This window comes from Homo sapiens, chromosome 2 (assembly GCF_000001405.40).
Source record: "Homo sapiens chromosome 2, GRCh38.p14 Primary Assembly".
NCBI classification, from domain to species: domain Eukaryota; kingdom Metazoa; phylum Chordata; class Mammalia; order Primates; family Hominidae; genus Homo; species Homo sapiens.
This window is the reverse complement of record NC_000002.12, coordinates 171,951,640-171,967,554: the sequence shown is the minus strand read 5'-3', so window position 1 is coordinate 171,967,554 and position 15,915 is coordinate 171,951,640. Positions and strand designations below refer to the sequence as shown.

At 37.8% G+C, this 15,915-nt stretch overlaps 1 protein-coding gene across 3 annotated transcripts in view, besides 1 other annotated feature; it reads right to left on the bottom strand.

The window, feature by feature from the left end:
• The window catches only part of HAT1 (histone acetyltransferase 1), a 61,226-nt gene that overhangs the window by 16,132 nt on the left and 29,179 nt on the right, over window positions 1-15,915 (bottom strand). For all 3 annotated transcript variants that reach the window (NR_027862.2, XM_006712808.4, NM_003642.4), the window contains 5 exons: window positions 14,554-14,674; window positions 2,038-2,217; window positions 1,647-1,768; window positions 1,042-1,146; window positions 606-712 (listed from right to left, as the gene is read on the bottom strand). Coding sequence is in view for 2 of the 3 variants with exons in the window: in XM_006712808.4 (XP_006712871.1) it covers window positions 606-712; window positions 1,042-1,146; window positions 1,647-1,768; window positions 2,038-2,217; window positions 14,554-14,674 (635 nt within the window). In the remaining variant the exon portion in view is untranslated. The remainder of the gene's footprint in view (window positions 1-605; window positions 713-1,041; window positions 1,147-1,646; window positions 1,769-2,037; window positions 2,218-14,553; window positions 14,675-15,915) is intronic.
• Window positions 2,763-3,712: an enhancer, noted in NCBI's record as "VISTA enhancer hs646". NCBI's record gives its function as "enhancer in: midbrain (mesencephalon)[3/5] | forebrain[3/5]" and the evidence as "EXISTENCE:transgenic organism evidence [ECO:0001131][PMID:17130149]".

The window sequence follows — 15,915 nt, the reverse complement described above, 5'->3', positions numbered from 1 at the left end:
GAGTCAAGTCGAGTAAGTCGAGTAAGTCGTCTTTCCTTCTCCTAAGCATTCTATTCATACTACTACTTCTATGGCTAATCCATACTGAAAGACATTTCCAAAACAAATAGGCCTACATTTCACCTTATCTACTACTGTTGTGAAGGCATGCATTTTAGGAATACAAAACACACACTTTAGGAAATGTGTATTCTATTCAAGAAGTATTTACCTTGACTTTTTTTCTCAGTAAAGTTTATAATATTCTGCCCCTACATGTAAATTAAAGTGCAGGCTGCCTCTAAATAATGCAACTGTTTGCCAAATAAAGTGAACAAATAAGTTATACCATACTTTCAACGTATTTACGCCTGACCAAGACTTCCCCATATATATTCAGCTCATTATCTTCAATTTGTTCCATTATGCACTTCACAGTTAGGGATGTAATCCAATCCCCACAAAGGCTTATGCTCTAAAACATAAACTTAAGCCATCTTTAGATGGCTTAAACACCCTAGGAAAATGTTGCTGTTTAAAATAGTTATTTCTGACAAAAATAAAATCAATCAGTAAGAAGACATTTTTAGAAAGGCTCTTTCAGTAACAAATCAAATTTTACATACCTGTAATATCAAGAACTGTAGGAAATTCAGTGTAGTATCTATGAACTGTTTCAAGAAGTTGAGCACCATGGCCTTGACCTTGAAATGGAGTCAAAATCAGCATCTGACTACAGTAAAGAAATTATTTTAAAATTAAAATATCATAACATGACCAGTTTAAAACCTGCAGATCACTATAGTATTACAAACACTTTAAAGTTTGTGTGATCTTTTTTTCAATCCACCTTTGAGATACCCAAAAATTATCAAGATACTCAAAATTAGTTTAATCTTCTACACTGTTTCAAAGGGAACAATGAAATAAATCAGTACATAGCCCATGAATAATAGTGATTTTTTTTTTAAACAAATCAACACTATTATAACAAGTATTGGAAACTTCAGCAGTTCCTTCTTCTGAAATAAAAGACAAGGCACGTGTTATACTGCCAATTACCTTACACGTGGCCGGGTTTTGTCTGGGTACACATAGTAATTATAGACTGTCATGTAGCCTACGGTCGCAAAGAGCGTAGCTCCATCCTTATTATACTTCTCAAATCTGCAGATAAAACAGAAAGCCAAGCAGGTCAATTACAGTCGCGCTCCCATGCAGTGTCCATTTTCTTTTCCATTCTCTGACTGAATTTTCAGTGTCAGCAAGCTACTCTGTGAGGGCCCAATGGGTACACCTGCTATGTTCTGAATGTACAATTCACTTAATTGGTGTGCAGCAACTTGGATAAATCAGACCTCTTTACATCACTTCAGTGCACTTGCCTATTATAAAGATGAATAGGTGGCAAGTAAAAGAAAACACAGGCAAAGCTCATTTTACTGTTTAAGCCTACATTCAGGGCCCTAACGGACAACAGCATTTAATTCAGCTCTATTCTCAAGGTCTCCCAAAGCATAATGAAGGAAAACTCAAGCCTCATAAACAATAGTTTTTCTTTCCTGGGAAAAATATCATTATACTGTCCCAATAATTGGGCTGCCACAATTAAAATGCTGGCTTTGTGGAGGTAATAAGGTCTACTGTTGCTTTAGAACTGTACTTACACTAGAAAGTAGTGCCATCTTTCATCATCCACGTCAATAAAGCTAGCAGTTTCAATAAACCACATCAAAAAGGTCTGAAGCCTTTCATGATATTCTCGAAAGCCTCTACATGTCATGTCAGCCTAGGGAAAAAGCCAGGAAAAGTCAGGTGAAACTCATCACAAAGGTAAGTGAAAGTCCGCAGAACACAAAATTATCCTGTGGGAAAATGTTTAGAAGTCTCAGATTAAGATGTGAACATAGATACAGACATACACACAAAATAGATCTTGGTTTATAATGCTGATTAAAACTTGTTTACTGCAGTTAGAATAAATCACTGACAACAAAACTACATACAGGTTTCAGGCAAATAGAACTTTACTCAATAAATATTTAGATTTATCTTTACCTTATATATCTGAAAGGTAAAGTTTTCTCCTCCTGTTGGACTGAGAACTGAGTAGGTATGAAGTAAGGTTCCGAATGGCTTGAAATCAACTTCCTTTTCCAGTAAAGAAAGGAAATCATTCGTGTTTGTGCAAAATCCAGGTGGAATGATTTGTCTAATTTTGCCCTCAACATCATCTGCCTAAAGAATAAAGGATATAAAAAATTAATAACAAATTCGACTTTAAGTTGAATATGGTTTATTTCTTTAAAACTGACAAAACCAACACAAATTACAAAACTTTGGTTGAAAACTAAAGAAGTAAACACACAGCGAATTGGAAAAGGATGAGCTTCCTGTGCACAAACTGCATCACACAAAACTGAGATGAGCATAATATAAAAGTAAATAAGAGAAGGCAGGTGACCTGATACCAAGTACAATAATAAGGGCAATGCTATGGACATTTCCATTATGCAGAAACAGCTGACTATACCCCTTCATGACAGTCTGAACTGGCCAAGGCAAAAGGTTGCTTATTATTTTATATGTGTCAAAGAAATCATATTATCCAAGACATGAAAAGATCACCAGCAGTGGTGAGATGAGACTAGAGTCTGACCAAATGAATAGCAATCTCACAACTAGATGGGTCACAATTCCCTCATATGCCAAACTCAAACTAAGATGATAACTTAAAAATATACATATTTAGGAAATAACATAAATTATATGAATGGATATATCATTCTTTTATCCTTAGAATGTGACACAATTCTTACAGACCTGGATTTGTGACAGTAAAAAAGAGACAAGACTGGACAACAAAACTAAACTCGGAGATTAAAATTACCCTTGTTAAACAACCTCTATCAATGTTATCAGCTGAGCAGACTTCATAATCCTTTTCAAAATCCCAAAAGACCACTTGATTGAATACATTTACTACTTCTCTTTAACCATGAATATTTGATGAAGTCTTACAATAAAGTATTGCTGCTTCTCACCAGGCAATAAAACTTAATGAATTGGTCTCAACTTAACAAAACCTTATCCCTCAATACAGTCCCTAAAAGCCTGACATTACATTCAACAAAATGAGCTTGTATTCTATTCAAACTTTTTCCTGAACAATGAGGCCAGGTTTTTACTTAATGGAGTTTGCCGTGAGTTCAGCTGTAATGTTTGTATTGTATCTATTTCCACAAGGACTGACACAAGAACACTTTGTGTTAACTTACTAAGCAGCTCTTTCATACCGTTTACATGCATGATGGGTATTAGTTCTAAACCAAGACCCTTGCTACTTAGCATTCAAAACAGGGAAATTAAGATGCTTAGGACAAAATACACTACAAAAGGCTAATACAACATGCTACTAATTCCTATCCTTTCAACCATCTTTTAACTAAGTAGAAGCAATGCACCTGCAGATGAATAGCACTTTATTATGATTCAGTTACATTTCAGGATAGAGAACCAGTGATGACGTTTATCACAAACAAGTTTTATTTTCAATGCTCTGGTACCACCAACATTTATATATAATTTGTTTATAGGTATAAAAAAGACCTATTATTGAAAATATAGCTCTTCAGCATTTTGCCCAACAGTTTATTTCTAATATGTACATCAGTCCTTGCAACTCATTCACACTCTAGATCAAATAAACTGCATTTCATAGGACAGTTTTTGCTTATTTTTAAAGTACTATTTGATAAATATTTTTCCTTGAAATTGCTAACATGAAGAGGCCATCGTAAGCATATTTTATAGTATCAGTACAATTTCAACAGCTATCAAGGAAACTGTCATAATGAGGGATAGCTGTAATAGATGTGTTGTGTAGCAATTAAAATCCAAAGTAGTGATGAGTAAAACAGTATAGTATGTTAGTTAAGGTTTTTAAAAAGCCAAGAAAAACTACTTTTAAAAAGGGATTTATAATCTATCAGTTTAAAAATCACTTTAAGACTTTCATAGCATGTATAATTTTAACTTTTAAAAACTTTCCTTATGTCCTGTCTTCTCAAGAAGGCATTGCAAATCACTTTACATATCTTGTATCAAATCTACTTCAAAGACTTCTCAGAAACTCTAAGTTTCAAGTAGCACTTTTGGTGGCGGGCAGAGCAACCAGAAGGTTTGAGCCCAACAAAGTTGAAAAAGGGCTTTCAGCCTTCAAAGGATGTCTATTTCCTGTAATAAATATCTTCAAATAAAATAGTTTGCTTTGTGTAAGTTTACACATTAAGAATTTTTACGGGGCAAAGGGCAATTTTAAAGCAAGGAATCTTTATATAATTATATAAATATATATTTATAAATAGTTATGTATATAAATATGTATCTGATATACTTACATAAAATATACAACTTAAAACCAAATAGTTCTTCAACCTAGAATTTACAACTTCGCTTCACTAAAGGGAAAATGTCTGCATTTCTCTATTAAATGGATTCTGCTTTAAGAAAAAAAAAAATCCTGACTACCATGTCTTAGAGATCTGTACTCTTTTCTCAAATATATAATTTAGTTTAATTTAAAATATTCGTCTTTCAGATTGGATTACTGATCAGATAATAAAATCAGCACAAGAGCAAGACCTCATTTAATCATTGTTAATTGAATAGAGTTAAAAATGAACAGAAACTTTTTAATTCCAATGTTTGTGGCTAAAAGTTTAGAATCTATTTCTGAAGATCACTGAAAAATTCCCTGTATTCCAGAGCATTATTCTAAACTTCAACTAAAATTATACAGAAATATAGAAAGGGTAAGAAATTCAGCTGACTAGACACACCAGGGAACTAGAATTTCAAAAAAATTTTTAAAAAGACACCAGGCTGGGCATGGTGGCTCACACCTATAATCCCAGCACTTTGGGAGGCCAAAATACGCACATCACCTGAAGTCAGGAGTTTGAGACCAGCCTGGCCAACATGGTGAAACCCTGTCTCTAATAAAAATACAAAAGTAGCTGGGCGTGGTGGTGTGCACCTGTAATCCCAGCTACTTGGGAGGCTGAGGCAGGAGAATCACTTGAACTTGGGAGGCGGAGGTTGCAGTGAGCCAAGACTGCGCCACTGCACTCCAGCCTGGGTGACAGGGTGAGACTCCGTCTCAAAAAAAGAAACCAGAATACAACCTGATATATTTAATTAACAAAGACATCTCTTACAAATGGTTTCCTAACGCTTGGTAATTTATTTTTAAAAAGGAAAGTGCAAAAGTATTCTAGTTAGATATTCTGGTAGGTGGGTCATTATGAAATATTTTTAGATTGTATACTATTTAACTATGGTCATTTCAAGTTCCAGTGTTCTGTACTTTATTACACATGAACATGTTCATATGGAGCAATTTTTGCATTTCCTCATTATTGAATAAAGCGATATGCCTGATAATTAGTAATCTATTTTTTTAATGTTTATATTTGTATTTATACACATTTGAAAACCCAATAACCTCTCTAACATCTTATCTTAAGCAGCACCATTTGTCTAAATTTGTCTAGTTATTTTTGAGATTGAAATTAAAGGCACGTTAAGTAGGTGGTAACATGTTGTTCTTTACTTGGCTAAAGTGGTACATAGACTTAACTATAATTCTAAGACTACCTAAAATATGCTAAAAAAAAAAAAAACAAGCAAAAGAAATTCTGTATCTACTTAATGTTCTCAATCTCATGTTCTCTGATAATATTTAAGCTTTAACTACAGAATGTATTGTTGAGAAATTAAAAGTGTGAACTTTTTCACTAATGGAAAAACAAAGGTCATATTATGTTTATTTACACTGCATTAGTATTTTGCTACTTGAACTAAACAAGATAAACTTGTCAATATATACTTTTAAAGCTCTTTATGATATTTCATAAAAAGTATTACTTATCAAGAACACCATCACAATTTGAAATTTTACTAGTCTACCAAAGATTTTTTCGAAATTTCTGGAAGTATGTAGGATTTTCCTAGAAAGAGGCTAAACACTCCATAAAATTTTTAAAATCTGCTCTCATATCCTCTCAAATTCAATCCAATTAGTGGGACACTAGGATAAAATAACTGAAATTCACAGTTAATACAAACTTTATCCATCTATTTCAACTTCCTGTACCAAACTTTTCCCAGAAATGCTAGCAATTAGCAAGACAACAATCTTAGTTACCCACTACTTCACTAAAAGGCAATGAAATTACCCCCAAGAAAAGGCAGGAGGTTTTTGTTTTTAAGACAAGAGTCTTGCTCTGTCACCTAGGCTGGAATGTAGTAGTGTAACCATAGCTTACTGCAGCCTTGACCTCCTGGGCTCAAGAGATCCTTCTGTCTCAGCCTTCCAAGTAGCTGGGACTACAGGAGCATGCCATCATGCCTAGCTTTTGTTTTCGTTTTTTGAGACAGAGTCTTGCTCTGTCACCCAAGCTGGAGTACAGTGGCGCGAACTCGGCTTCCTGCAACCTCCACTTCCCGAGTTCAAGTGATTCTCCTGCCTCACCCTCCTGAGTAGCTAGGACCACAAGCACGCACCACAACACCTGGCTAATTTTTGCACTTTTGGTAGAGATGAGGTTTCACCATGTTGGCCAGGCTAGTCTCAAACTCCTGACCTCAAGTGACCTGTCCACCTCGGCCTCCCAAAGCGCTGGGATTACAGGTTTGAGCCACCACGTTCAGCATTTTTTTTTTTTAATAGGCAGGGTCTTATTATGTTACCAAGGCTGGTCTCAAATTCCTGGCCTCAAATGATCCTCCTGAGTCAGCCTACAGAGTAGCTGGCATTACAAGCACAGAGCAGGAGGTGTTAATAAAAGCAAAGGTCAAGGACAACCAGATGAAAAAATCATCAGTGTCTGAATAATCAAGTTTATTGTATTGTAAAATTCAGAATTATGTTTCCTTTAAAGATGGTGGCTAGTAGAGATTTTATAGGCATCTTAATTGTGACTGAAGAATTTTAGGTGCAACTAGAGCATTCAGCTTGGAAAAGTAAAAGAATGGATGATTAAAAATTAATGTAATGACATAATCCTAATAAGAAATAACTTCTAAGCAGATGTTATGGCTGCTGACCATCTATGCAGTATGATCTGCAAAGCCCTAATATATTAGACTCAAACCTAACATCCAAAATAAAATTTTTTTATTGTTTCCACTTAAACCTATTTCTTCTATAGTTTTCCCAGTTAACAGTACCATAATTGAACTTGGGCAATGGGGTTCTCGTTTTTTTTCTTCATCTGTCACATCTAATTCAACAGCAGACCTCCAAAATGTTCCTTACTCTGACAACTAAGTCCAGTGTCACCTCTAACACTGCAATGTTCCGGTCTCTTCTTTCACTTTTGCCCTATACAGTGTGTTCTCTGCACAGCAGCCAGAATCATATTTTAAAAATATAAATCACATTGTTTATGACCTCCACCTACTTAAGAATGCCTCTAAAGAATGCCAACTACTCTTATTTCTTGCAAACACCTATCACAGAACACAAGATCCTATATGATGATCTAGCTTTGCATCCCCTTCAACCATCTCCTACCCCTCTCTCCATCACCACAATGATTTAACCCTGGTAATCTTTCTGGACTACAAAAATGCCAAAAATGCTGTATTTTTAGAGCCTTTGTATCTTAGTAAGCTTTACCCTCAGATTATAACATGGCTGGTTCCTCCTTTATCATTCAGAAATGAGCAAAATGTATCTTCATAATACTGCCTGAATTTAATTTGTGTATTTACTATTTTGTTTACTGACTGTTCCTCTTGGCTAGAATGTAAGCTCCATGACTTTGTCTGCCACTGTATCGCTGGCATCAACAACACAGAAGGCACTATGGAATGAACACTCACTGCAAACTGAGATAGAAGAAGCAAGCCCATGACCCACATATCCCCTACCCAATCGTTTTTAATAAGGGGAAAAAAGTCTTTGTTTGAATACGCAATATAAATGATCTTTGACCACAAAGCAAATAAGTAACTCTACAAAGAGACATTATAAAAGATTGATTCCTTATTCCTAACACAGTATTTCTAAATGGAAAAACCTAATTTTCAAGAATGGAACAATTAGATGTCAATGCAAATACACAGCTATTTTCACTGCATGAAATATTTAAAAGATTTATCTATAACTAAATCAATAGTTCCTTTGGAAGAAATCAATTCAGTGCTATCAGCTGCAACTGTAAAAAACAAAAACCCTCCAACAGTGGGTTTACACACAAGGAAAAACATCACCTGCATTTTTAATAAGAATATCTAGCTGGGCTTGGGTCTGGAGAATTTAGCAATCTACATATTTGATTATGAAAAAACTCTATTTTAATAAATGTGTTAAATGCTAGTTTATCTAAGATTACATCTTTTCAAACATCAAACCACTACAGTATTACTCAGAATCACTTTTGTATCTGCACAATTTCAAAAGTTATCCTGGGAAACAAACTATATAAAATAAAACAAATATTAAATGTAGTTACATATTATTTATCTGGCAAGCTCAGTCATCTCAAACATGGCTGGGAAGTGGGGAAAAACACACAAAAAAACCAAATAGAACTCAAAATATTTCTAATACTAAAGTTGAATAATGAATATGAAACTACTTCAGATCTTTTTCATGCTATGCACAATTCATATTATATGAAACTATTTCAGATCTTTTTCATGCTACGCACAATTAGTTTTATAGATGGGGCATAGGGTTGGCAAAAGAGGTAAAGTCAGAAGTTAATGTCAGTTTAAAGTCCTGAAAAAGTTGGTGGCATTGTTAATGTTTTAGGAACTGCTACTTCTGCAAAAGAAAGTTATGACATACAGTATGAAGTAATCAGATTCCATCAAGCTTACCAATATGGTATTTTTAACCATAAGGGGTTTGCTAGTGTGAAGCTCCTTACAATGATAGCAGTAAACTGGGAGCACATGGCATAAAACACAGGAGAAGGCTGGGTACGGTGGCTTGTGCCTGTAATCCCAGCATTTTGGAAGGCCAAGGTGGGAAGATTGCTTGAGGCCAGGAGTTTGAGGCCAGTCTGGGCACTATAGCAAGACCCCGTCTCTACAAAAAATTAAAAATTAAAAAAATATTTTTTTTAATGAGGGGGAAAAACACATGGTCAAAAGGGGAAAGATACCTATGTAACAAACGTGCAAGTTCTGCACATGTATCCCAGAACTTAAAATTAAAAAAAAAAATAACGGGAGAGAGAGAGAAAAAGCAGTAAGCCCAAGAGCCTGGATCCTCTTAGAACAGGTCATAAATATTCCTAACATCTTTTAATCAGGATATTATTATATATTATGCATAATAACACTAAATAATCATCTCCTAGTACAATACTGATTATTTACTAGTTGTATGACTTTGGGCAAAACCTTTAAATATAACAAATCCCTCAAAATTTAAATAATAAAAAAGGGCCAAGTAAGTCAGTTCCAGTAATGAGAGGAGGTTTTAACCAAAAATATAGATGGGGCATAGGGGTGGCAAAAGAGGTAAAGTCAACAGTTAAAATCAGTTTAAAGCCCTGAAAAAGTTGGTTTAATTGTTAATTCTTTAGGAACTGCTACTTCTGCAGAGGAAAGTTATGACATACAGTATGAAGTAATATATTTCATTTTCCATACTTGTGTCTAGCACAGTATTACCAACAGTATATCAGATATAATTTACTAAAACTTGCTGGATTAATAAGTGCAAAGAAAAGAGATTTTGCTATAAGAATTAACTTTCAATTTTATAAATATGATTTAGTGACAAAATGGGATTTAATCTTTAAAAAAATCAATGGTGAAGTTTCAATGCCCTTAAATGAGGAATGCTCGGAAACAGAACAAGCCTAAAATATAATTTTCTTAAGGCCCTCAAAGATTCATGTCCATCCCACATGCAAAATACATTCATTCTATCCAAACATTCCTAAAAGTCTCAACCATTACCATATCAACTCAAGCCCAAAATCTCATCTAGATATAGTCAGTTCAAAAGTCACACCTCTCATCATAGGTAAGACTGTGGGTATGATACATCCTAGGGCAAAATTCCTCTCCATCTATGAACCTGTGAAATTAGAAAACACAGTATCACTTCCAAAAGACAATGGTAGGACAGGCATAGGACAACAGTTATAGAATCTCTCATTCCAGAAAAGGAAATGGAAGGAAGAAAGGAGCCACTGCCACCAAGCAATTTCAAAATTCAGCATGGCAAACTCCATTAGGTTTCAAGGCCTAAGAATAACTGTGGCCTGCAGCTCCACCCTCTGGACCCAAAGCTTTGCCCTCAGAGTCATTCTTCCACTTTCTTTAAAGGTAGCACATGTTGGCAGCTGAGCAGTTTTATTAGCCTGTTTCCTGCCTGTGAAATTTGGAGAGTTCATACAGCCTTCCTTCATTTTGTCCTGTCAATCCAAGCTGCACTATAAAGTTTTAATTCTCAAAACCCTTGAGTCGCCTGTGTACGTCATGAGGGTTCATACCATTAGACAAGAGGGTCCTCCACAAATGTTCCCCAGATCTACATTCCTAGCTTTTTGCTGAGACAACTGAGGAGATCCATGAGTCACGTGCCTAATCCCTTCAGCACTAGCAAAAGGTTATCCTGTCACACTCACGGCTTTCTCTCCAGAACACACTTTCCACCTTCCTGACAATGAATATCCTAACTAGTGTCTTCTACAATCTGGATAGGTTAAGAATTTCCCAAATCATCAAGTCCTGTATCCTTTTTGTTTAACAGTTCTTCCCTCAATTTATCTCTTTCATCACTTTACTATAAGCAGCCAGAAATCAGGCCACACCTCCAATACTTTCCATGAAAACCTCCTCAGCTAAACATCCAAGTTCATTGCTTACAGTAAGTTCTCCTTTCCACAGAACTGCAGGACATAACTCAGCTAGGCTTTCTGCCACTATAGAACAAGGATATCCTTTTCTCCAGTTGCCAAATACATGTTCCTCATTTTATTCTAAGCCCTCACCAACCAGAGGCAGTTCTTTTGTTTGTTTGTTTGTTTTTTGGAGACAAGGTCTGGCTCTGTCACTCAGGCTGGAGTGCAGTGGCACCATCTTGGCTCACTGCAACCTTCACCTCCCGTGCTTAAGCCAGTCTCCCACCTCAGGCTCCAGAGTAGCTGGAACTACAGGCACACACCACCACACCCAGCGTGTGTGTGTCAGCGTGTGTGTGTGTGCATGCGTGCGTGTGTGCGTGTAGAGATGGGTTTTCGCCATACTGCCCAGGCTGGCTTGAACTCCTGAGCCCAAGTGATCTACCTACCTTGGCCTCCCAAAGTGCTAGGATTACAAATGTGAGCCACTAAGCCTGGCCTTTTTTTTTTTTTTTTTTTTTTTAAAGACAGGGTCTCACTGTCACCCAGGCTGGAGTGCAGTGGCATGATCATACTTACCTTACTGTAGCCTCAACCTGCTGGCCTCAAATGATCCTCCTGCCTCATTCTCCTCAGTAGCAGAGGCACTTTTTTTTTGAGACAGAGTCTCGCTCTGTTGCCCAGGCTGGAGTGCAGTGGCGCGATATCGGCTCACCGCAACCTCCGCCTACCGGGTTCCGGTGATTCTCCTGCCTCAGCCTCCCGAGTAGCTGGGATTACAGGCATGCGCCACCATGCCGGGCTAATTTTTGTATTTTTAGTAGAGACGGGGTTTCACTATGTTGGCCAGGCTGGACTCAAACTCCTGACCTCGTGATCCACCTGCCCTGGCCTCCCAAAGTGCTGTGGGATTATAGGCATGAGCCAACGCATCCAGCTCATGTTCGTGTTTCTACCAAAACTAAGTTTATGACTATATATATATTCTCTAAGATGATACAGGTGTTCTCTCCTACACTCCTAGCTTCATTCTGAGCCCTAACCAACAGTCCATTATTTCCTTTATTTATTTATTTATTTATTTTTGAGATGGAGTTTTGCTTTTGTTGCCCCGGCTGGAGTGCAATGAATGGCGCGATCTTGGCTCACTGCAACCTCTGCCTCCCAGGTTCAAGTGATTCTCCTGCCTCAGCCCCCCAAGTTGCTGGGATTACATGTGCCTGCCACCACGCCCGGCTAATTTTTGTATTTTTAGTAGAGATGGGTTTCACCATGTTGGCCAGGCTAGTCTCAAACTCCTGACCTCAGGTGATCCTCCCGCCTTGGCCTTCTAAATTGCTGGGATTACAGGCATGAGCCACTGCGCCCAGCCCATATTTCCTTTAACATCCATATTTCTACCAACAGTCCATTCAAGGTAATCTATGCTTTTTCTATCATGCACCTTCAAAACTCTTCCAGCCTCTACCTATTTCCAAAGACACTTCTACATTTTTAGTTATTGGTTATAGCAGCATCCCACTTCCTGGTATGAAAACCTGTATTCGTTTCCTGTGGCTGCTATAATAAATTACCACAAACTTGGTGGCTTAAAACAATATTTATTCTCTTACGGTCTGGAGGTGTTCTGAAATCAGTATCACTGGGCTGTAACCAAGGTAATACACTCCCTCTGGAAGCTCTAGGAGGGAATCTGTTCCTTTCTTCTTCCAGCTTCTAGTGAGTAAGCATTCTTTGGCTTCTGGCCATATCACATCTGCCTCTGTGGTCACACTGCCTTCTCCTTTTCTGTCATCAAGTTTCCTTCTGTCTCCCTCTCATTAGGATACATGTCATTACATTTAGGTCCACCCAAATATTCCAGGATAATATCAAGATATTTAATTACATCAGCGAAGTGCTTTTTGCAATATGAGGCACCATTCACAGGTTCCAGATATTAGGACATGGATATCTTTTGGGGGGAACCATTATTCAGTCTACCACAGATGCATACTCATCTCTCTCTCTTTTTTTGAGATGGAGTCTTGCTTTGTCACCCAGGCTGGAGTGCAATGGCGCAATCTTGGCTCACTGCAACCTCCACCTCCTGGGTTCAAGCAATTCTCCTGCCTTAGCCTCCCGAGTAGCTGGGATTACAGGCATGCACCACTGCGCCCAGCTAATTTTTGTATTTTTAGTAGAGACGGGGTTTTGCCATGTTGGCCAGGCTGGTCTCAAACTCCTGACCTCAGGTGATCCGCCCACCTCAGCCTCCCAAAGTGATAGGATTACAGGCATGAGCCACTGTGCCCGGCCTCATCTCTCTCTTTACCTTTATCCCCTTTTGATACACTCACTTTAAATAGTTTTATAATGTGATCAGCTTGATCATCCATGTATTCCATCCATAAAGGAATATATTAGCAAAATTTGTGGGATTAGAAATGCAGCAAGAGAAACTTCAATAGATTCCACACTAGGTAAAAGTGGAAAATTTAGCTATTTCCCTCCATCTTCTTTGACTTATAGGAAATAACCACAATAAAAAACAAAAGTTGGCAAAAAAATAAAACTCTGATCACAAAGGCAAAGATTTTTATGAAGAAGGTCCATGCAGGAAACAGAACAGGATCATGATCACAGGATTAACTGTAATGACAGGGAGGCAAATGCCTCCATAACTAAAGACTGAGTATATGATTTTATTTAATTAATTAATTTTTTTTTGAGACAGTTTCACTCTGTCACCCAGGCTGCAGTGCAGTGGCACGATCTCAACTCACTGCAACCTCTGCCTCCCAGGTTCAAGCAATTCTCCTGCCTCAGCCTCCCAAGTAGCTGGGATTACAGGTGTGTACCACCACGCCCAGCTAATTTTTGTATTTTTAGTAGAGACGGGGTTTCACCATGTTGGCCAGACTGGTCTTGAACTCCTGGCCTCAGGTGATCCGCCCACCTTGGCCTCCCAAAGTGCTGGGATTATAGGCGTTAGCCACCACACCCAGCCTGAGAATGTGATTTTAAAACTACCATGTAACAGATTCTCTCTTCCCTCAAACCTTAATTTTTTTTTTTTTTTTTTTTTTTTTTTTTAAGAGACAGGGTCTTGTTCTGTTGCCCGGGCTGGAGTGCAGTGGTGCCATCATGGCTCACTGGCAGCCTCAAGCTCCTGGGCTCAAGTAATCCTCCCACCTCAGCCTCCCAAGTAGCTGAGGGTCTCACTATGTTGTCCAGGCTGGTTTCCAACTCCTGGGCTTGAGATCCTCCCACTTCAGCCTCCAAAAGCACTGGCATTATAGGCACAAGCCACTGCACCCAGCCCAAACCTTTAATTTTTAGAAACTATTTGTTTATTGTTTGTTTGTTTTGTTTTTGAGACAGGGTCTAGCTCTGTCATCCAGGCTGTAGTACAGTGGCATGATCTCAGCTGACTGTAGCCTCTGCCTCCTGGGCTCAAGCCATCCTCTGACCTCAGCCTCCTGAGTAGCTGGAATTACAGACACATGCCACCACGCCCCACTAATTTTTGTGGTTTTTTTGAGAAATGGGCTCTCACTATGTTGGCCAGGCTGGTCTCGAACTCCTAAGATCAAAAGATCTGCCCCCCTTGGTCCCCCAAACTGCTGGGGTTACAGGTGTGAGCCACCGCACCTGGCCTAAAACCTATTTTAAAATAAATTAAATTGGAAAACAGTTTAAAAAGTATTTCTGTTCTTACCTCTACACAGTCAAAGTTCTCATCAACTTTAGATGCATATTCAACACGGAACATTGTTGACAGGCTACCAGCAATATAGTATAACAGGATCTTTAGACCCTTGTAACCAAAAGCAGTTTCACTGAAATGGAAAAAATAGCAATAATGGAATGAATTTTTGCAGTCATTAAAAAGTATTAACCCTACATATAAACAAGTTTAACTTCATGGGTAGTTTCAAGATTTTAAACTATACTTAAAAAAAAAATCTACAATAAAATGTGCTTCAGTTTTCATCTATAAAATAGAATAACTCAGGAATGTTGCCTAAGTCAGGAATGTTGTTTGGGTTAAATAAGTTAATACATGTAAACTACTTATAAAACTGGCACATTGTATAAGTACTCACTAAATGTCAGACATTTAATACTATTGCTACTGTTGCTGCTGCTGCTACCATTACCAGTATTAGAAGGCATTTCAAATGAGAGAAGTAGTGTTAAATTAGGACCTGGCTAGGCAAGCAGCTACCAAGCCTTGGACCAGTCCCTCCAACTTACTGCTTACTGAATCACCAAAATCCAGAGCTGCAGCAATAGCACCTGCCTTACTACATGTAAACTGCTCTATGAACTCAAAAGGCAGATATGGAACTGCTGCTAATTCTTCCACCCCTGCTCCCTGCTATCACATTTATGCCTTAATATTCCTTTTTCCAGCTTAAAAGAGTCTTCTAAAAAGTGAACTCTAAATTATCCAAAATAGGTAAATCTATAGAGACAGAAAGTAAATTAGTGACTGCCTAAGACTAGGGGTCAGGGTAAAGTGACTATTAATGCATTTTAGGGTTTTTGATGGAAGTAATGACAATGTTCCAAAATTGACTGTGTTTGCACAACTCTGAATACATTAAAAACCACTGAATTGTACACTTTAAATAAATGAATTGCACAGTATATATCTCAATAAAGCTGTATTCTGATTTTTTTAGAAAGTGAATTGTGAAAGAAAAGTGTTTGAAAGAAGCAGTGTCATTTCCAAATTTCTGTCTAGGCTACGAAAATACGGAGCACTGTCCATTCCAGCAACTCTGAAAGTTATGTGAAGAAGAAAGGAGTGGCAATGATACTAGGATCAAGACCAATTATCATGCTTGGGTCATACAGTTCAGGGATATCACTATTATGTTACTGTCCCCTACCCATCTTAGAAGAGTGGTATACAAGCACCCCACTTTCAGTGATATTACGCAAAACAGTGTGCAAAATGCCATTAAGAAGCACTAACTGGTCTGGGCACGGTGGCTCACACCAGTAATCCCAGCACTTTGGGATGCTGAGGCGGGGGGGGATCACTGGAAGTCAGGAGTTCAAGACCTGCCTG